The 21,424-nt window shown below is 43.5% G+C and overlaps 1 protein-coding gene across 28 annotated transcripts in view, besides 1 other annotated feature; it reads left to right on the top strand.

The window, feature by feature from the left end:
* The window catches only part of ZNF320 (zinc finger protein 320), a 44,830-nt gene that overhangs the window by 8,189 nt on the left and 15,217 nt on the right, over positions 1 to 21,424 (top strand). For 4 of the 28 annotated variants that reach the window (XM_024451397.2, NM_001351777.2, XM_047438310.1 and 1 more), the window contains exons 2-4: positions 4,786 to 4,903; positions 5,804 to 5,891; positions 7,879 to 8,005. In XM_024451397.2, the coding sequence (XP_024307165.1) occupies positions 5,877 to 5,891; positions 7,879 to 8,005 (142 nt within the window). In that variant the 5' untranslated portion in view covers positions 4,786 to 4,903; positions 5,804 to 5,876. Of the gene's footprint in view, positions 1 to 696; positions 2,354 to 2,512; positions 4,904 to 5,803; positions 5,892 to 7,878; positions 8,006 to 14,148; positions 19,953 to 21,424 lie in introns of those variants that run through there. The other 24 variants (NM_001351774.2, NM_001387574.1, NM_001387573.1 and 21 more) reach the window with 18 other exon arrangements.
* Positions 19,329 to 19,830: an enhancer, noted in NCBI's record as "H3K4me1 hESC enhancer chr19:53379555-53380056 (GRCh37/hg19 assembly coordinates)". NCBI's record gives its function as "activates a minimal SCP1, AML or CMV promoter by ChIP-STARR-seq in primed H9 embryonic stem cells {active_cell/tissue: H9 hESC(primed)}" and the evidence as "EXISTENCE:reporter gene assay evidence [ECO:0000049][PMID:30033119]".

The raw sequence follows: 21,424 nt of genomic DNA, 5'->3' as shown, positions 1-21,424 counted from the left end.
TGACAGAGCGAGACTCCGTCTGAAAAAAGTAAGATAACTACTTTTCAAATAAGCTTTGGTAGAATCTTATGAGCTCACATCATTGTTTTCCAACTATGATATGAGTTCAAAATTTTCTTCTTTGACCCTACATTTTATTAGATATATACATTTTTAGATGTATATATTTTTAACCATTTTAAAAGTTTCTCTATGAAATTTGTTGTGTTCAGTTTACATAGAAGACTGCATGCTTTCTAGTCTGTATCATATATTGGAAGCATTTACTAGTACCTGATAAATGATTTTAGGTTGTTTCTTTTTTTCTTTCTTACTTTTTTTTGAGACAAAGTCTCCCTTCTACCCCCAGGCTGGAGTGTGATGGCACGATCTCGGCTCACTGCAACCTCCGTCTTTTGGGTTCAAGCTCTTCTCCTGCCTCAGCCCCCAAGTAGCTGGGATTACAGGCGCCTGCCACCACGCCTGGCTAATTTTTGTATTTCTAATGGAGACGGGGTTTCACCATGTTGGCCAGGCTGGTCTTGAACTCCTGACCTCAGGTGATCCGCCCACCTCAGCCTCAGAAAGTGCTGGGATTACAGGTGTGAGCCACCGTGCCTGGCCAATTTTAGGTTGTTTCAATGTGTACTTTATAAAGATATCAAGGACCTATTTTGTTTGTTTGTTTTGAGATGGAGTTTTGCTCTTATTGCCCAGGCTGGAGTGCAATGGCGCGATCTTGGCTCACCACAACCTCCGCCTCCTGGGTTCAAGTGATCTCCTGCCTCAGCCTCCCCAGTAGCCGGGATTACAGGCATGTGCCACTGCGCCAAGCTAATTTTGTATTTCTAGTGGAGATGGGGTTTCTCCATGTTTGTCAGGCTGGTCTCAAACTCCCAACCTCAGGTGATCCACCCACCTCGGCCTCCCAAAGTGCTGGGATTTAAGGTGTGAGCCACCACGCCCGGCCCCAGGACCTTTCTTCTTTACGCTAACATCAAAATTTGGTTCAAGTAGCCTATTCTATTTTCTTTCCTTATGTCATCTGATAAAATGGTGAGCTGTGAGCTTCTAAGTAAATGTCTCCCTCAAGTTCCTCTGGTTCATAATATTCCTTGCAGATGTTGAACGATGGGCTGGATTGTTTTGGAACCTTGTTCCAGCAGAGCCCATGTGTTCATGAAGAAAACATTTGCTTACAGCTTATGACTACCATTGCCTCTCTTTCAGTGTTTTTTGTTGTTGTTGTTGTTTTGGTTTTTGTTTTGTTTTGTTTTGTTTGAGAAGGAGTCTCACTCTGTCACCCAGGCTGGAGTGCAGTGGTGTGATCTTGGCTCACTGCAACCTCTGCCTCCCGGGTTCCAATGATTTTCCTGTCTCAGCCTCCCGAGTAGCTGGGATTACAGGCACACACCACCATGCCAGGCTAATTTTTGTATTTTTAGTAGAAACCGGGTTTTACCATGTGGACCAGGATGGTCTCAATCTCCTGAGCTCGTGATCCACCTGCCTCGGCCTCCCAAAGTGCTAGGATTACAGGCGTGAGCCACCGCGCCTGGCCTCTTTCAGTGTTTTAAACACCTATAGCTATGTGTTCACACTTGTGTTTATTTTGAACGTATTACTGTCATATTTCTGGGAAAATAATTACATGTTTAGGATTCATGCCATCAGAACCTTAGACATGGAGAGAGACATTCCTTTTGCTCAGGTGTATAAAAGATAGTCCTGGAATTTTCTTTCTTTGTTTTTTGGTTTTTTTTTTTTTTTTGAGACAGTCTTGCTCTGTCACCCAGGCTGGAGTACAGTGGGGCAATCCGGCTCACTGCAACCTCTGCCTTCCATGTTCAAGTGCTTCTCTTGACTCAGCCTCCAGAGTACCTGGGACTACAGGAGCCAGCCACCACACCCAGCTAATCTTTGTATTTTTAGTAGAGACAAGGTTTCACCATATTGGCCAGACTGTTCTCTGAACTCGACCTCAAGTGATCCACCCACCTCGGCCTCCCAGAGTCCTGGGATTACAGGTGTGAGCCACCTTGCCTGACCCCTCTTCACTAGTTTTTAATTTACATAATGAATTCTGATTTTGAACCCATGTATTGAGTTTTTCCATTTAGTTACTGTATTTTTATCCCGAGAGTTTCTGTGTAGTTCGTCATAATTTCTGTATGTTGGTTGTCCTTCTCATGTTCTTCATGCATTGCTTTTATGATTTCTTGAAGTTGTATCTTAATTCAGTGAGCTTCCAACTTTTTGGGGGGTGGAGGTGATGGAGTTTCGCTGTGTCCCCCAGGCTGGAGGGCAGTTGTGCGATCTTGATTCACTTCAACCTCTGCTCTCCGGGCTCAAGCAATTCTCCCACCTCAGCCTGGTGAGTAGCTTTGGTTGTGTCCTCTCCAGGTTTTTGCTTATACCTTCTGAACGCAAGTTAATTTAAGTGTGTGTGGATGTAATTTGAAGTATGTGCAGAAGTGCATTAATGGATAAGCCCATGATTTTTTTTTGAGACAGAGTCTCACTTTGTCGACAGGCTGGAGTGCACTGGTGCCATCTCAGCTCACTGCAACTTCTGACTCCCGAGTTCAAGTGATTCTTTTGCCTCAGTCTCCCAAGTAGCTGGGACAACAGGGGCGTGCCGAGAAGCCCAGCTAATTTTGTACTTGTAGTAGAGAGCGGGTTTCACCACGCTGGCCAAAATTGTCTCAACCTCTTGATCTCATGATCCACCGCCTCACCCTCCCAAAGTGCTGGGATTACAGGCATGAGGTAATGCGTGTGGCCAAGCCCATGGTTTACGTAGAAAACACAGCATTTGCAATATATATACATAATTATTATTGTTATTATTATTATTTTGAGAAAGTCTTGCTCTGTTGCCCAGGCCCGCATTGGGGAGGTGCCTGGGGCCTATATGGTGACACAAGGTGTTCTTCCCTGCCCAGTGCCAGCCCCTGGAAAATGGGCTCCTCTGACATGAAGGTGTCCAAACCCTCCTGTGATTGTGTGGGCCAAAGGGATCAGGAGACAGAGAGAGAGCAGTAAAAAACCTGAGACAGAGAAAAGAAGAATGAGAAAGGCCCATAACAGATGGCAAAGTAGAAGATGGGTGAGGGATTTGCCAAGAGACAGCAAAAGTGAAAAAAAAAATAAGAAAGCAGGAGGAGAAAAGCAACTGGAGAAATGTAGAGAAAAGCTAGATGTACAGAGAGATGAAGGACAGCAAGGTAGGGAGAGGGACAGCAAAGAGGGAGTCTCATCAGAGTGAGGGAGAGGAGGAGGGATTTGGAGCCAGGGCAGACAGAGCAGAGTGGTGCTGGTGGCAAGGAGAACAGAGGGAGAAGCACAGCAGGGAGGACACCTGGGGATCTGGGGTGCCAGAGAGTGGGGCCAGGGAGGTATAACAAGGAAGAGACAATTTAACAGGGAGAGCAGAGGATGCACAGAGATGGGAGAAGAGGTGGAAATCTATAGAGATTGAGGATGATCTAAAGATTGGGGAGAAGGAGCAGCAAGAGATTAAATGAGTTGTGGAGATGGAGCCTGGCTAATTTTTGTATTTTTAGTAGAGACAGGGTTTCACTGTGTTTGCCAGGTTGGTCTCGAACTCCTGACCTCAGGTGATCCACCTGCCTTGACCTCCCAAAGTGCTGGGATTACAGGCATGAGCCACTGTATCTGGCCACCCATGTTTTCTTGATTGAAAACATTTGCTTATATAGTAGTTCTACAGCTGACCCTCTTTCCCTATTTTCTTTTTTTGTTTGTTCGTTTGTTTGTTTTTTTGAGACACAGTTTCACTCTTGTTGCCCAGGCTGGAGTGCAATGGTGCAATCTCAGCTCACCGCAACCTCCGCCTCCGGGTTCAAGTGATTCTCCTGCCTCAACCTTCCTGAGTAGCTGGGATTACAACCATGAGCCACCATGCCTAGATAATTTTTGTATTTTTAGTAGAGACGGGGGTTTCTCCATATTGCTCAGGCTGGTCTCGAACTCCTGACCTCAGGTGATCTGCCTGCCTTGGCCTCCCAAAGTGCTGTGATTACAGGCCTCAGCCACCCTGCCTGGCCTCCCTGTTTTCAAGGTCAGTAGCTGTGTGTTTTCACTTCTGCATTTTATATATGTTACTATAATTTTCTTGTAAGAAGAATTAAATGTTGAAAGTCAATAGCATCAGAACGTTGCAAAAGAAGTTTCTTTAGCCCAGGTATGTGAAAGATGCTTCTCTAATTTTCAAAGAGAGGTGATAAGACCAACCCTTTCCATTAGCCCTTCTGGGCCCCCATGTAAGAATTCAGACACACCTTCTCACTCATCTCAGACCTTCTCAGGGTAACTCGGTGAATATGTCCCCACTCTGAGGATATCACAGCTAAATGTAAAGCAGGTCACATCAGTCCCTGGCAGGGAACCCTCCACCAGCTTCCCGTGTTCCCCAGGACAAAAGCCCAACTCATCAGTGTGGCTCCACAGCCCTGTGTCCAGGGCCCCTGCCAGTGTCCAGCCTCCTCCTGGGAGCTTGCCCTAATCTAATGACTCCCTCCGCCCCAGTCACATTTGCTTATCTCTTTCCCCAAACATCAAAACCCTTCCTGTCTCAGGTCATTTTCCCCGTTCTTACCCTATGTCCCTAAATGATCACAGCCATCTCCCTTTCTGCTCCTTCAGGTCTAGGCTCAGAGCTGTCTCCCATGCCCTCCCACCCCCATCTGAAATTCCCTCTGCCCATCAATCTCTATCATGTTACTCAGGTTTTATTATCTCTATCACATCAGAAACGCTTTTTTTTTTCTCTTCCTCAAACAGAGTCTCACTCTGTCCTTCAGGCTGTGAGTGCAGTCTCCTGATCTTGGCTCACTGCAACCTCTGTCTCCTGGGTTCAAGTGATTCTTGTGCCTCAGCCTACCAAGTAGCTGAGATACAGGTGCGTGCCACCCGCCACCATACCTGGCTAATTTTTGTATTTGTAGTTTTGTTTTATTTTATTTTATTTTGTTTTGTTTTATTTTTAAGTCTTACTCTGTCACCCAGGCTGGAGTGTAGTTGCACGATCTCGGCCCATTGCAACCTCCACTTCCCAGGTTCAAGTGATCCTCCAACCTCAGCTTCCCGAGTAGCTGGGATTACAGATGCCCACCAAGCCCAGCTACTTTTTGTATTTTTAGTAAGAGACAGGGTTTCACCATGTTGGCCAGGCTGGTCTAGAACTCCTGACCTCAAGTAATCCACCCACCTCGGCCTTCCAGAGTGCTAGTATTACAGGCATGAGCCACCGCGCCCGGCCCAATTTTTGTATTTTTAGTAGGGACAGGGTTTCACCATGTTGGCCAGGCTGGTCTCGAACTCTTGAGCACAAGTGATCCTCTCATCTCAGCTCCCTAAGTAGCTGGGACCACAGACACACAGAAGTGCACCACCATACCTTCCTAACTTTTTGTATTTTTGTAGAGATGGGGTTTCACCATGTTGCCTAGGCTAGTCACAAACTCCTGAGCTCAAGCGATCTACCCACCTCGGCCTCCTAGAGTGCTGGGGTGACAGGCATGAGCCACCACACCCAGCCTCTGTGTGGGGTTTGGTTAGGTCTGAGTCTGTGCCCTGAAGGGGAGCTCATCCCAGCCCAGCTCCCCACTGCTGCAGCGTGTGTGTGGACTCCTCCAGTAGGGTAGTGGGAGTTTTCCTGTAGGAGTTTATCATCCCTGGGGCAGTGGGCAGCAGAGGGGACCATATTTCCCAGGGTGAGGCCTCCTTTGTATGTGTCATTGTGTTATGGGGAGGGGGTGTGTTGATTCTCAGTGATAAACAACATATTTCTAACATTTAGGATTGACTTCTAAAGACTCTTGGTACCTGAGGAAGAAACCCAGAAGAGGAAGAGGAAAGCAAAGGAGTCGGGGATGGCTCTTTCTCAGGTGAGATGATATTCTCGGTGGATTGTTCTGTCTCCTTCCTTTCAGAAATGCTGGCGCCTGGAGTTGGGAATCTTCTCTTAGTCTGAAGCATCCTGCCTGACAGGTTTGCTCACAATCACCCATGCCTTCCCTCAGTCCCTCTTATCTCACTTAGATTTTATCTCCTGTGACCAAGTGACATGAAGTTGGGAAGAGGCTGCACTGGGCATGGTCCTGGGAAGGACTCACACCCAGACATGGATGGAGACGGGGTGAGGGTCCCATGGTGTCAGTGCTGTTGGGTAGCAGGGATTGTTCAGGGGCCACATCTGGATGCTCTGTCAGCTCTCCGTGGACCAGGATTAGAGCAGCTGCCAATGGAAGTCACATATTAATGTGCACAAAGTGCATGGTAAATTCTAGAAAGAGAGACCAATAATAGGAAATCTTTTCTGCCTGACATTATAGTACATTTTTAGGTAATTGAGTGACTTACTGTGTTTCTGACTCAAAAAATCTTACTAATTAGAATGGAAACTTCATACATAGATATGAATGATACAAGAATGATCCTATCATTATTTTAAGAATAGGAAATCAACCTAAATAATAGCAGGAGATTCGTTAGACCATTCTTAGCACATTACGCTCATGGAGACTGTGGGGTTCCTGTGGAGAGGCTTGTGAAACAGGTGTTTGTGGTAAAACTGGTTACAATTTTTCTCAAATATGGCAGCGGTACTTCTTTTTTATCCTAGAGGATAAAGCCATATTCTTATTCCACCTATAACTATTATTATTATTTTTTCTGAAATGGAGTCTTGCTCTGTCACCCACGCTGGAGTACAGTGGCATGATCTTGGCTTACTGCACCCTCTGCCTCCCGAATTCAAGCCATTCTCTGTCCTCCAGGCCAGGCAGTTAAAAGGGTAATTGATTCATCTAGGATGGGGCATTTCCTGTTTCCCTAGATCTGATGAGATTCCACCCACCAGCAGCTGCCAAAGTATCCTTTTCCAGCAAGATGAGATTCCTCTTCAGTTAAACAAAACTTGCTACTTTTTTTTTCTTTTTTTTTTGAGACGGAGTGTCACTCTGTCACCAGGCTGGAGTGCAATGGCGATTTCTCGGCTCACTGCAAACTCCGCCGCCCAGGTTCAAGTAATTCTCCTGCCTCAGCTTCCCCAGTAGCTGGGACTCCATGTGCGTGCCACCACGCCCAGCTAATTTTTGTATTTTTAGTTAAGATGTGGTTTCACCATGTTGGCCAGGCTAGTCTCAAACTGCTGACCTCATGATCCACCCGCCTCAGCCTCCCAAAGTGTTGGGATTACAGACGTGAGCCACTGCGCCCTGCAAAACTTGCTACTTTTTATATTTGTAAAACCTATATATGTATATGCATACACATCCCCACACACATACACACACATTTATACATACATACATATGTACACACACGTATATATTTTGAAAATCTTTTATATTTTGAAAATCTGGGACAAATGACAACCCTTTGTATTAACATCTAGTTTTTTTTCAGTCTGTGTAGGTTTTATTATTTTGTGAACATTTACAAAATGGATTTTTGTGCTTTGTGTAATTTTACTTTCATGTATTTTATTTTATTTTGAGAGAGAGTCTTGCTTTGTTGCCCAGGCTAGAATGCCTTGGTGCAATCGCAGCTCACTGAAACCTCCACCATCAAGGTCAAGCCGTCCTCCCACCTCAGCCTTCCAAGTAGTTGGGACAACAGATGCCTGCCACCATACCCGGCTAATTATTTATTTCTAACGTAAGCAATTCATACTGAGAGGGTATCCTGAGCTCTTCAGAAAGTATAATCAAACACCACTGGGAAGACATCATGTGGTGAAGAATCCCTTACTTGGATTTGTCGGAACATTCTCTGCAATTAAATCCATGCTTTCCCCTCTCCTCTTCTCATTTTCTGTAAAGATAAGATCTCCTCCCATAACCATTTGCTTAAAATGTGTTTTCCTTTCAGGGTCTACTGACATTCAGGGATGTGGCCATAGAATTCTCTCAGGAGGAGTGGAAATGCCTGGACCCTGCTCAGAGGACTCTATACAGAGACGTGATGCTGGAGAATTATAGGAACCTGGTCTCCCTGGGTGAGGATAACTTCCCTCCAGAAGTGGGGATGTGCCCTTGTGGATCTTTGTATTTTCTCTTGTTTCTCTTGGGAGTTGCATCCTTGCTTGACTAAAATGGAAGCTGTATTGATTTTGAAATGAAAAGCTTCATGATGTAGCATCTGGACTTTCACTGTCCCCTTTGTTTAGATGTTCTGCGTTCTTCATGATACCTCAATGTGGGTTCCAGAACTAAAGTAGGCATAAAACCTTATGGCAAGCTGGGCATGGTGGTTCATGCCTGTCATCCCAGAACCTTGGGAGACTGAGGTGTGTGGATCACTTCAGGTCAGGAGTTTGAGACCAGCCTGGCCAACATGGTGAAACCCTGTCTCTACTAAAAATACAAAAATTAGCCGGACGTCATGGTGCACACCTGCAATCCCAGCTCCTAGAAAGGCTGAGGAGAGAGAATTGCTTGAACCCAGGAGGCCAAGGTTGCAGTGAGCCGAGAACACACCGCTGCACTCCAGCCCAGACGACAGAGCAAGACTGTCTCAAAAAACAAAAACAAAACCTTATGGTAGACTTTAAACATATCCAGTTCCCTGTTTGCTTCTCCTGTGCTTTCAACTCATTAGTTCTTGGAAGATAGCCCGATGTCCACATATTACATATTACAGTGCTCCAACAGCATTCAGAATGAGGCAGTCAGTGGAGGAATTTGTGAAATATTTTCCTAGATCCACCTGTAATGTCTTCTTTCCTACAGAAATATAGGGCTGGGACTCTAGAAAAGCTCCAGCACATCATGGTCCTTTCTTTTTATAAGCACGAGTCTCTTTCTGACCTGTTATCTCCATGTTGGAGCAAGGGAAAGAGCCCTGGACTGTGGAGAGTTAAGTGAAAATAACAAAAAACTCCAGATGGGTGGGAATGTATTACAGGTGTAAACGCAGGTAAGAGCTCAGATGGGCAGAGTGGAAGCTCCACCTTCAAATAGTGTGTGGGGAAACTCTCTGCAAGTGGGAGAATTCTGTGGCAAAAGAAAAGTTTCAATCCTGAGATCTCTGAAGGGACATCTTTCTTTGCCCTCACTTATCCCTCTGCTCTTTCCTTATTTACTTCTTTTCTTTTCTTTTGTTTTGTTTTTTCTTTTCCTTCCTTCCTTCCTTCCTTCCTTCCTTCTTTCTTTCTTTTCTTTCTTTCTTTCTTCTTTTCTTTCTTTTTCTTTTGATAGTTTCACTCTTTCATCCAGGCTACAGTGCAGTGGAACGATCTTGGCTAACTGCAGCCTCTGCCTTTCAGGCTCAAAGGATTCTTGTGCCCCACCTTTCTTGGAGGCTGGGACTGCAGGCGCTCACCACCATGCCCAGCTCACTTTGTGTTTTTAGTAGAGATGGGGTTTCACCATGTTGTTCAGGCTGGTCTCAAACTCCTTATCTCAAGTGATTCACCTGCTTCGGCTTCCCAAAATGCTGGGATTACAGGCGCGAGCTGCCATGCCCAACCATGGTTATTCTTTTAAATAGTTTTGTCTTTTAGTTCTTAGTAAACATAAGTGGTTTAAACATGATTCCAGTGTGAATATAACAACCACATTAGTGTCCATTCCGTTCAGTACGCAGAAGTGAAGTGCGTTGTATTGATATATGGGGAGAGGTTATTGTTGCAGGTATGTTAAACATCTTAAACTTATAGCACAATAATGAAGCTTAAAATTTCCATAACCTGGCCAGGTGCAGTGGCTGACACCTGTTATTCCAGCACTGGGATGCCGAGGTGGGCAGATCGCCTGAGGTCAGGAGTTCAGAACCAGCCTGGGTAGCATGATGAAACTTCATCTGTACTAAATTTACAAAAATTAGCCAGGCACAGTGGTGGGCAGCTGTAATCCCAGCTACTCAGGAGGCTCAGGCAGGAGAGTCACTTGAACCTGGGAGGTGGAGGTTGCAGTGAGCCAAGATCGCACCATTGCACTCCAGCCTGGGAGACAGAGTGAGACTCCATGTCAAAAAAATAAAAATAAAAATAAAAAAATTCCATAACCTACAAAAACTACTTCTTCTCCAGTAGAACTTTTTTATTTTTGTCAGAGTTATTTTTGTGTATGTTGCATTTCTGTTAACATATATGTACAGTGTTTTTTCATACATTTTCATTTTTAATAATATGAAAAAAAGTTTAGTTATGAAGAAAAGGTATACGTATGCGAGTTTCTGTATCTGTCCTTTTATTAATTAATTAATTTATGTATTTATGAGACAGAGTTTTGCTCTTGTCACCCAGGCTGAAGTGCAGTGCTGCAATCTTGACACCACAACCTCCACCTCCCCGGTTCAACCAATTCTCCTGCCTCAGCCTGTCGAGTAGCTGGGATTACAGGCATGCGCCACCACACCCAGCTAATTTTGTATTTTTATTGTTTTATTTATTTATTTATTTTTTTGAGACAGAGTTTCACTCCTGTTTCCCAGGCTGGAGTGCAATGGTGCAATCTCAGCTCACTGCAACCTCCACCTCCCAGGTTCAAGCAGTTCTCCTGCCTCAGCCTCCTGAGTAGCTGGGACTACAGGTGCTGGCCACTATGCCTGGCTAATTTTTGGTATTTTTAGTTCAGACGGGGTTTCACTGTGTTAGCCAGGATGGTCTCGATCTCCTGACCTTGTGATCCACCCACCTCAGCCTCCCAAAGTGCTGGGATTACAGGCATGAGCCACCACGCCTGGCCTAATTTTGTATTTTTGGTAGAGACAGGGTTTACTCCTTGTTGTCCAGGCTGGTCTCGAACCCTTGACCCCAGGTGATCCGCCTGGCTTGCCCTCCCAAAGTGCTGGGATTATAGGCATGAACCACCATGCCCAGCCTACCCGTTTTTTTTATTTACCTTTACTGGAGAACTTTATATATGTTTGTGGGTTGGAGTTATTCTTTAGCCTTCTGTCATTTATTTATTTTTTCTTTGAGACACAGTCTCAGTCTCTCACCCAGGCTAAAGTGCAGTGGTGTGATCTTGGGTCACTGCAACCTCCACTTCCCAAATTCCAGTGATTCTCCTGCCTCAGCCTCTCAAGTAGCTGGGACTACAGGCGAGTGCCAACATGCCAGGCTAATTTTTTTGTATTTTTTTTTAGCAGAGATGGGGTTTTACCTTGTTAGCTGGGATGGTCTTGATCTCCTGACCTCAGGAATCTCCCACCTCATCCTCCCAAAATGCTGGGATTACCATGCCCTACATGTCTCAAGGTTTTTAAAACATGTTAGTGCTATTAGATGGCTTCAAGTATTGCAAGATTTATAGTAGAGACCCTAAACATCCTTTGTTTAATAAGATTTGTCAGCCTGTGGTGATGTTGATGATGAGATGCTCCTGTTCCTTTCTCTGTCATTTCACTGTTAGAAATAGCTTAGACTGACTGGCCACGGTGGCTCATGCCTCTAATCCTAGCACTTTCAAAGACCAAGGTGGGTAGATTGCTTGAGGTCAGGAGTTTGAAAACAGTCTGGCCAACATGGTGAAACCTGGAATGTACTAAATGCCAAAAATGGGCCAGGCGCAGTGGCTCACACCTAAAATCCCAGCACTTTGGGAGGCTGAGACAGGTTGATCACTTGAGGTCAGGAGTTCAAGACAAGCCTGGCCAATATGGTAAAACCCCATCTCTACTAAAACCACAAAAACCAGCTGTGCATGGTGACTTGCGCCTATAATCCCAGCTACTTGGGAGGCTGAGGCAGGAGAATCACTTGAACCCATGAGGTGGAGGTTGCAGGGAGCTGAGATCACGCCACTGCACTCCAGCCCGGGCAACAGAGTGAGACTCTGGGCTGAGGAGGGAGAATCAGTTGAGGTAGGAGAATCCTGCCAGTACACTCTAGCCTGGGTGATAAGAGCGTGACTCGATCTGAAGAATAAACGAAAAAGGAAGTAGCTTAAACTGGGAAGCTTAAGACACAGAAATTTATTTCTCATGAATTTGGAAAGTGGGAAATCCAAGAGCAAGGTGCCAGCCAAATTGATTCCTGGTGAGAGGCTTCTTCACGGTTTAGCCCAGCCATCTTCCTGCCATGTCCCAATATGGTAGAAAGAGGAACAGGCAATGAGCTCTTTAATGTCTCTATAAATGCACTAGTCCTATTCATGAGGAGTCAACACCCATGACTAAATTCTCTCAAAGTCTGCATCTGCAGGAACATCCTATTAGAGAATACCACATCTACCAAAGCTTATATGAGAAGTAGTTATTTATCTTATTTTATTTTTTTTGAGATGGAATCTCATCTTGTTGCCCAGGCTAGAGTGCAGTGGCACTATCTTGGCTCACTGCAACCTCCGCCTCCTGGGTTCAAATGATTCCTGCCTCAGATTCCCAAGTAGCTGGGATTACATGCACCTGCCACCACGTCCAGCTAATTTTTTTTGTATTTTTAATAGAGATGGGGTTTTACCATTTGTTCCAGGCTGGTCTCAAACTCCTGACCTCATGATCCACCCGACTCAGCCTACCAAAATGCTGGGATTACAGGTATGTGCCACCGTGGCCGGCCATTAGTCAATTCTTATTCCTTATAATTCTGTGTATTTTCTTCACCTCATACTTCAGAAGGTAGTGATTTTAACATGTATTTCAGTTCTTATGTTGTGTACGGGTGGTAACTACAAGTTATGGCCTTTTTCTTAAGAGGGAATTGTTTAGAATTCTGCAGGCAGTATAAATTGACTTATTATTTTCTTCCTTTTATGAGTTTTTGGTATGTGGTATTCAATATAACTGACACACTCCCTTCGTTAATGTCACAAACTGCCGCTGGGCACAGTGGCTCATGCCTGTAATCCCAGGACTTTGGGAGGCCGAGAAGTGTGGATCACCAGAGTTCGAGATCACAGGAGTTCACAGGAGTTCGAGACTAGCCTGGCCAACATGGTGAAAGCCCATCTCTATTAAAAGTATAAAAATTAGCTGGGCATAGTGGTGTGCGCCTGTAATCCCAGGTGCTCGGGAAGCTGAGGCAAGAGACTCGCTTGAACCCAGGAGGCGGAGGTTGCAGTGAACCAAGATTATGCCATTGCACTCCAGCCTGGGTGACAGAGTGAGACTCCATCTCAAAAAAATAAAAATACAAAATTTTTTTTTTAAGTTACAACATGCCTGTTCCACATGGATATAGGTAATTTTGTAACAGTTATTCAGAAAAATATGCTATTAACATTTTCTTTTTTTTTTGAGACGGAGTCTCACTCTGTCACCCAAGGTGGAGTGCAATGGTGTGATCTCAGCTCACCACAATCTTTGCCTCCCGAGTTCAAGTGATTTTCCTGCCTCATCCTTTCAGCTAGCTGGGATTACAGCTGCCCATGACCATGCCCGGCTACATTTTCTATTTTTAGCAGAGACAGGGCTTCGCCATGTTGGCCAGGTTGGTCAAACTCCTAACCTGAGGCGATGTGCCTGCCTCCGCCTTCCAAAGTACTGGGATCACAGGCGCGAGCCACCACCCCCTGCCTTTTTTTGTTTTCTGAGACAGAGTCTCACTTTGTCACCCAGGCTGGAGTGCAGTGGTGCGATGTGGGCTCACTGCAAACTTTGCATCTTGGCTTAAATCAATTCTTGTGCCTAAGCCTCCTGAGTAGCTGGGACGACAGGGTGGGCTACCACACCTGGCTAATTTTTGTAATCTTATCTTCTCAGTGCTATGATTGTTTGATAATACAGAATTTCCATTGATTTTGATTATCCTTACAAGAGCTTGTTGTGGATTATTTACCAATATAGTACATTGTCTGGTTTTTTAACATTTATTTCTGTATACTAAATATACTGTATATATGAAGAATACATATTTTTCTCTTCTTTGATGTGACAGTGATATATTTTTTGCACTGTGTGATACCCCTTAGGATTAAAGTGGAAAAATACTCCTTACTTTAGGCTTATGTGTGTTTGTGCCCTGTCAGTGTTTTGTCATGATATTGGAAATAGGCTTCTGTAAAAATGATTTGAAGTACATGTAATTGGCCTTTATTTATTAAAGAATCTTACTTGTTTTGTGTTCCTAAACTTTGAAGCTCATGTTTGGGAAGTTTAAAATAAGTATTTTTGTGTGTGTGTGATATTTATACATTTCAGTGTTTTATACCATCTGTACTTAATTGGAAACCTATTGGTGTTTATATTTTGTAGATATCTCTTCCAAATGCATGATGAATACATTGTCATCAACAGGGCAAGGCAATACAGAAGTGATCCACACAGGGACATTGCAGAGACAAGCAAGTTATCACATTGGAGCATTTTGCTCCCAGGAAATTGAGAAAGACATTCATGACTTTGTGTTTCAGTGGCAAGAAGATGAAACAAATGACCATGAAGCACCCATGACAGAAATAAAAAAGTTGACTAGTAGTACAGACCGATATGATCAAAGGCATGCTGGAAACAAGCCTATTAAAGGTCAGCTTGAATCAAGATTTCATTTGCATTTGCGAAGACATAGGAGAATTCATACTGGAGAGAAACCTTACAAATGTGAAGAATGTGAGAAAGTTTTCAGTTGCAAATCACATCTTGAAATACATAGGATAATTCATACTGGAGAGAAACCATACAAATGTAAGGTTTGCGACAAGGCTTTTAAGCATGATTCACACCTGGCAAAACATACTAGAATTCACAGGGGAGACAAACATTACACATGTAATGAATGTGGCAAGGTTTTTGATCAAAAAGCAACCCTTGCATGTCATCATAGAAGTCATACTGGAGAGAAACCTTATAAGTGTAATGAGTGTGGCAAGACCTTTAGTCAGACATCACACCTTGTGTACCATCATAGACTGCATACTGGAGAGAAACCTTACAAATGTAATGAGTGTGGCAAGACCTTCGCTCGAAATTCAGTCCTCGTAATTCATAAGGCAGTTCATACTGCAGAGAAACCCTATAAGTGTAATGAATGTGGCAAGGTTTTTAAGCAACGAGCAACTCTTGCAGGACATCGTAGAGTTCACACTGGAGAGAAACCTTACAGATGTGAAGAATGCGACAAAGTTTTCAGTCGCAAATCACATCTTGAAAGACATAGGAGGATTCATACTGGAGAGAAACCATACAAATGTAAGGTTTGTGACAAGGCTTTCCGGAGTGATTCACGTCTTGCAGAACATCAGAGAGTTCATACTGGAGAGAGACCTTACACATGTAATGAATGTGGCAAGGTTTTTAGTACAAAAGCGTACCTCGCATGTCATCAAAAACTTCATACTGGAGAGAAACTTTACGAATGTGAAGAATGTGACAAAGTTTACATTCGCAAATCACACCTTGAAAGACATAGGAGGATTCATACAGGAGAGAAACCTCACAAGTGTGGTGATTGTGGTAAAGCCTTTAATTCACCTTCACACCTTATTAGGCATCAGAGAATCCATACTGGACAGAAATCTTACAAATGTCATCAGTGTGGCAAGGTCTTTAGTCTGAGGTCACTCCTTGCAGAACATCAGAAAATTCCTTTTGGAGACAATTGTTTCAAGTGCAATGAGTATAGCAAACCATCAAGCATTAATTGACATCAGAGTCAAATCAGCATTGACCTGAGTTTGAGTTGACTTAACATTGATTTCAAGCATTAATCGACATTAAACTGTTTATGTTAAGAGGATTGGGCCAGGCGTGGTGTCTCACACCTGTAATCCCAGCACTTTGAGAGGCCAAGACAGGTAGGTCACTTGAGGTCATGAATTTGAGACCAGCCTGGCCAACAGACGGGAGCCACTTTTCCCAGCCTGTATGTTCTTTTATTTATTTATTTATTTTTAAGATGGAATCTTGCTCTGTCGCCCACGTTGGAGTGCAGTGATGTGATCTCGGTTCACTGCAACATTCACCTCCCAGGTTCATGCAATTCTCCTGCCTCAGTCTCCTGAGTAGCTGGGACTACAGGTGCGTGCCACCATGCCCGGGTAATTTTTTGTATTTTTAGTAGAGACTGGGTTTCACCGTGTTAGCTAGGATGGTCTCGATCTTCTGTCCTTAAAATCCACCTGCCTCCACCTGCCAAAGTGCTGAGATTACAGGCGTGAGCCACCACACCTGGCCTGTTTTTTGTTTCTTTAACAAAAAGTTATAGAAATTTCTCTGGGTATTGTGTTGAATCTACATCACATTCAGTTATAATCATTTAGCAATATTATTCCATTCAATATGGCTTGTATCTCTTATTTGCACATGTTTTTATCACTTTGATCAATGTTTGTAGATTTGAAGGTAGAAACTTCTCAACTTTTTTCATTTATTCCTAAGTATTTCTTACTTTAAGTTCTTTAGCAAATGAAAGTGTTTTTTTAATTTTCTTTTTAAATTGTTTATTGTTAATGTATGGAAATTCAACTAATTTTTGGTGCTGTTATTCTATTCTTCAAATCCACTGCATATGTTTTTTAGTTCCAGTTGCATTTTGGTTGACTCTTTGTGATTTTCTACACAGAAGATCATGTCATCTACAAAGAAATAGTTTTACTTCTTTCTTTCTGATTTGGATGAGTTTGATTTCTTTTGCTATTTCATTGCTCTAGCTAGGACAGCCAGTATTGATTGAATAGAAGGGGTGAGAGCATTCTTGCATCATGTGAGATCCTACAGGAAAAGCATTCCATTTTCCCTGACTGGTTATTTCTGCTGTGGTCATTTCATGGATGGTCTTTGTATTGTTGAGGTAAATTTCCTTCTCTTTCTATTTTGTTTAGGATTTCCATGATGACTGGATGTTGAATTTTGTGAAATGCTTTTTCTCCATGTATTGAGATGATGTGGTTTTCATCTTTCATTATGTTCAAGTGGTATATCACATTGATTTGCTTGACTATGTTGAACCATTTTGCATCCCAGAAATAAGTGGCACTTGCATATCAACAATCCTTTTTATAACCTCTTGAATACAGTTCGCTAGTACAAGGGGTCTTCAGGAAGTTCATGGAAAAATACATATTATGAGAAAATTGTGCATGATATCACATTTTTTGCACCAAGATAAACTGATACAAATCCGTTATAACATGTCTGAACAGGGTTTGGTTTGAGGCACTCAGATGGGTAAGACATGAGTTTGAAAAGAGACTCAATCAAGGCAATGTAAATTCTGCTAAAACTGAAACAAGAAGAAACATCAAATTTGCGATGAGACCAGATGCTGTGGCTCAGGCCTGTAATCCCATAATTTTCAGAGGCTGAGACAGTTGGGTCACGTGGGCCCCGGTACTCAAGACCAGCCTGGGCAGAATGGTGAAACCACCTTCTCTACAAAAAATACATAAATTAGCTGGGCATTGTGGCACATGTCTGCTGGTTCAGCTTCTGTGGAGTCTGCAGTGGGAGGATGGCTTGAGCCTAGGAGTTCGAGGCTGCAGGGAGCCATGATCATGCCATTGTACTCCAGCATGGGTGACAGAGACAGATAGTGTATCGAAAAATGAATCTGGTAAAGTTTGGGTAGAGGGACAATGAAATCATTGATGCTTTATGAAAAGGTTATGGGGACGATTCCCAAAATAAATCACCAGTTTGTAAATGGAAAACTTATTTTAAGTTGGGACAAGATGATGTTGAAAGTGATGCACAGGACAGGTGTGGTGGCTCACACCTGTAATCCCAGCACTTTGGGAGGCCGAGGCAAGAGCATCACGAGGTCAGGAGATCGAGAAAATCCTGGCTAACACGGTGAAACCCCATCTCTACTAAAAATACAAAAAATTAGCCAGGCGTGGTTGTGGGCGCCTGTAGTCCCAGCTACTCAGGAGGCTGAGGCAGGAGAATGGCATGAACCGAGGAGGTGGAGCTTGCCATGAGCAGAGATCATGCTACTGCACTCCAGCCTGGGTGACAGAGCGAGACTCCATCTCAAAAAAAAAAAAAAAAAAAAAAAAAAGAAAGTGATGCACAGAGTGGCAGGCAGACCATCCACATAAGTTTTATAGGTACAACTGTCAAAGACGACACTGGAGAAGAGCCAAGCTGGATCTATAAGGAATTGCATATGAGATGGCACACATATTCATGCTGTCTGAAGATTCAGTCACGTTACCATATCAAGCTGAAAATGTCACCACTATCTGGAGAGTTGGACATGTTTTATTGAGAATGTATTTTTTTTCTCTGGATCTGTTATGAACACCTTTGTTGGCTTGGTTCAGTAATAAATATGTGAGACTTTTCATTTAAAAAAAGTCAAATGACTTAATTCTGTATTTTAAATTCTGTTTTGTTTGTTTTGTTTTTTTGAGATGGAGTCTTCTGAAAATTTTCTCATCTTCTCTAACCCGGTTCATGACAGACCCTTGGACTTTACTGTTGTGGAAAAATCTATATAAAACAGTATCAGTGTGTCAAAGCATTATGGCTGTCACAAGCTTGTGAAAGGAAAATAAAAATTACTAAGCCAAAGAGAAAAGTCAATCTGGGAACTGCGTCAGACAAACCTGCCTTCCATTTTATTCCTAAACAAGATAGTTACAAAGATTTTTTAAAAAGCTACATATGCCCCTCCCAAACCGGGAACCTCAAGATCTCCACCCTAAAATAGTTCTGTTGAATTTCACCCTGGCGATGTAAACTGAGAGCTTATCTTCACAGATGTGGGAAAGAGCCCATCCCTCTGCACACCTGAGTCAAATGTCTATCTGATTGCTTCCCTTGCCCTATTTATGTAAAAATACAGGGTCCCTGAGCCAGCCTAAGGCATAAGTGACTTATCCCTCCTCCCTGCTCACATATAAATTGTGTATTTAGTGAAAGGCTGATCAAAGATTCAAAGAATGTTATTTGTTATCTACCTGTGACCCAGAAGGTCCCCAATTCCAGTTATTCCACCTTTCCAGACCGGACCAATGTATATATGTACTGATTGCTGTCTCGTGTGTCTGTAAAATGTGTGAAACCAAACTGCAGCCTCAACACCATGGACACACGTCATCAGGACCTCCTGAGGTTCGTGTTAATTGGCCTTAGACTCTCCCTGTCCCCAGACCCAGGACGCATGTGTTTCCTTTTTCTTCATTTCTATTAAAGATGGGTCTCATTCTGTTGGCCAGGCATGAGAGCGGTGACAGGATCAGCCCTCACTGAAGCTTCAATCTCCTGGGTTCAAGGGATCCTCCCACCTCAGCCTCCAAAGTTGCTAGGACCATAGCCAGGTGCCACCGCACCGGGCAAATTTTTGTGTTCCTAGTAGAGATGGGCTTTCACCATGTTGCCCGAGCTGGTCTTGAATTCCAGGGCTCAAGCGATCCAGCCGTATTGGCCTCCCAAGGTGCTGGGATTACAGCCATGAGCCACCATGACCAACGTGTTTCTTAATTTAAAAAAAAAAAAATAGACCAGGTGCTCTGGCTCATGCCTGTAATCCCAGCACTTTGGGAGGCCAAGGTGGGCAGATCACCTGAGATCAAGTATTTGAGAACAGCCTGGCTAACATGGCGAATCCTCGTTTTGACCAAAATATAGAAATTAGCCTGGTGTGGTGGCGAGTGCCTGTAATCCCAGCTATTCAGGAGGGTGAGGCAGAAGAATGGCTTGAATTCGGGAGGCGGAGGTTGCAGTGAGCTGAGATCCTGCAACTGCACTCTGGCTGGGCAAGAGCGAGACTCCATCTCTAAAATAAAATTAAAGTAATATAAAAAACTGCTTCTCATGAAAGCTTTGGTATAATCTTACGAGGTAACATCATTGTTTTGCAACTACGGTATGTGTTCAAAATGTTCTTCTTTGACCCCACATTTCATTAGATATATTTTTAAGCCATTTTAAAATTGTTTTTCTCTGAAATTTATTGTGTTTAGTTTACATTGAGGACTGCATGCTTTCTAGTCTGTATCATACATTGGAAACATTTTCTAGTACCTGATAAATGATTTTAGGTTGTTTCGATGTGTACTTGATAAAGATATCAAGGAACTTTTTCTTTATGCTAACATTAAAATTTAGTTGAAGTAGCCTATTATTCCATCTTCTTTCTTTATGTCATCTAATTAAATGGTGAGCTGTGAGCTGCTAAATAAGCTTTCCCCTCAAGTTCCTCTGGTCCATAATATTCTTTGCAGATGTTCAAGGATGGACAGGATTGGCCTGGAACCTTGTTCCAGCAGAGCCCATGTGTTCATGAAGAAAACATTTGCTCAGATCTCATTTGTACCACTGCCTCTCTTTCAGTGTTTTAAACACCTATAGCTAGGGATTCATAATTGTGTTTATTTTGAAGATATTACTATGATTTTTCTGGGAAAATAATTACATGTTTAGGATTCATGCCATCAGGACCTTAGACATTGAAAGAGACATTTCATTTGCTCAGGTGTATAAAATTGTCCTGGAATTTTTTTTTTTTCTTTTTTTGAGATGGAGTGTCACTCGGTCACCCATGCTTGAGTGCAGTGGCACCATCTTGACTCACTGCAACCTCTGCCTCCCAGGCCCAAAGATCCACCACAGTCAGCCCCTCAAATGGCTGAGACCACAGATGCACACCACCACGCCTGGCTAATTTTTTGTACTTTTGGTAGAGATGGAATTTCACTGAGCCCTGAAATACTTTGCCAAATAGTGTGTGGCTTTTCCTTTAGGAGAGGGTACTGCTCAGATGTAATTTGAATGTTAAATGGATTCCAGTCCTCCAAAAATGTAAAAATCACAAATACCAGAATGGAAAAACGGGATTAGACTCAAATCATCTTGAACCTATTCTTGTCTCTGTCCACACCCACTGCTTTTCCTTATCTCATCTCACAGCTTTAACCCACCTACCCATGTCCCCTGCAGGCCTCTCCACTGAGCTCTACAATCCTGTGTGCAGTTGTCTCCTCAGCTCTCTGCTGGGACATCAAACAGGCATCTCCACCTTCACGTGTCCATAAGTGACTTCCTAAACCCCCAAACACATTCCCTTACAGTCCTACATGTCTCAGATGAGGGTGACAGTGTATTTCTGGAAGCTTAGCCAAACTTGACAGCATGTATTTTAAGTATGGGAGATAAATTACATTATTTGTAAGTGTTGTCATTTATAATGTAAAGAGACATTTGCATGTATACATGAAAGGAGTGAGAAAATACATCGTTTCCAAAATTCCTTTGAGGTGTGGGAGAAAAATGTTTCAAGGCCTCATCCCTGCAGATCTGGGCTCCCAGGACCCCTCTGACTTCATCTCCTGCCTGTGTCCTCCTCGCTCCCTCTGCTCCAGCCACGCAGGCTTCTTTCCTTTTTCTGGGACTGAGGTTGCTCCTATCTCAGGGCCTTCACCTGGGCTGTCCCCCTACCTAGGACTCTCTGGCCCCTCAGCTGCAAGTGACAAGCAGCGTTTCTTCCCTAAGTCTTTGTTCTGACATCACTTTTTTCTATGGAAACTTTTGTGATCACCCACAGCCCCCATATGACATGACAGCCCCACCTTCACCCCCACCTCTGATC

The sequence above is a fragment of the Homo sapiens genome, chromosome 19 (genome assembly GCF_000001405.40).
Source record: "Homo sapiens chromosome 19, GRCh38.p14 Primary Assembly".
Taxonomy (NCBI): Eukaryota; Metazoa; Chordata; class Mammalia; order Primates; family Hominidae; genus Homo; species Homo sapiens.
Note: the sequence above shows the minus strand (reverse complement) of the source record. Positions and strands in the feature narration are given on the sequence as shown.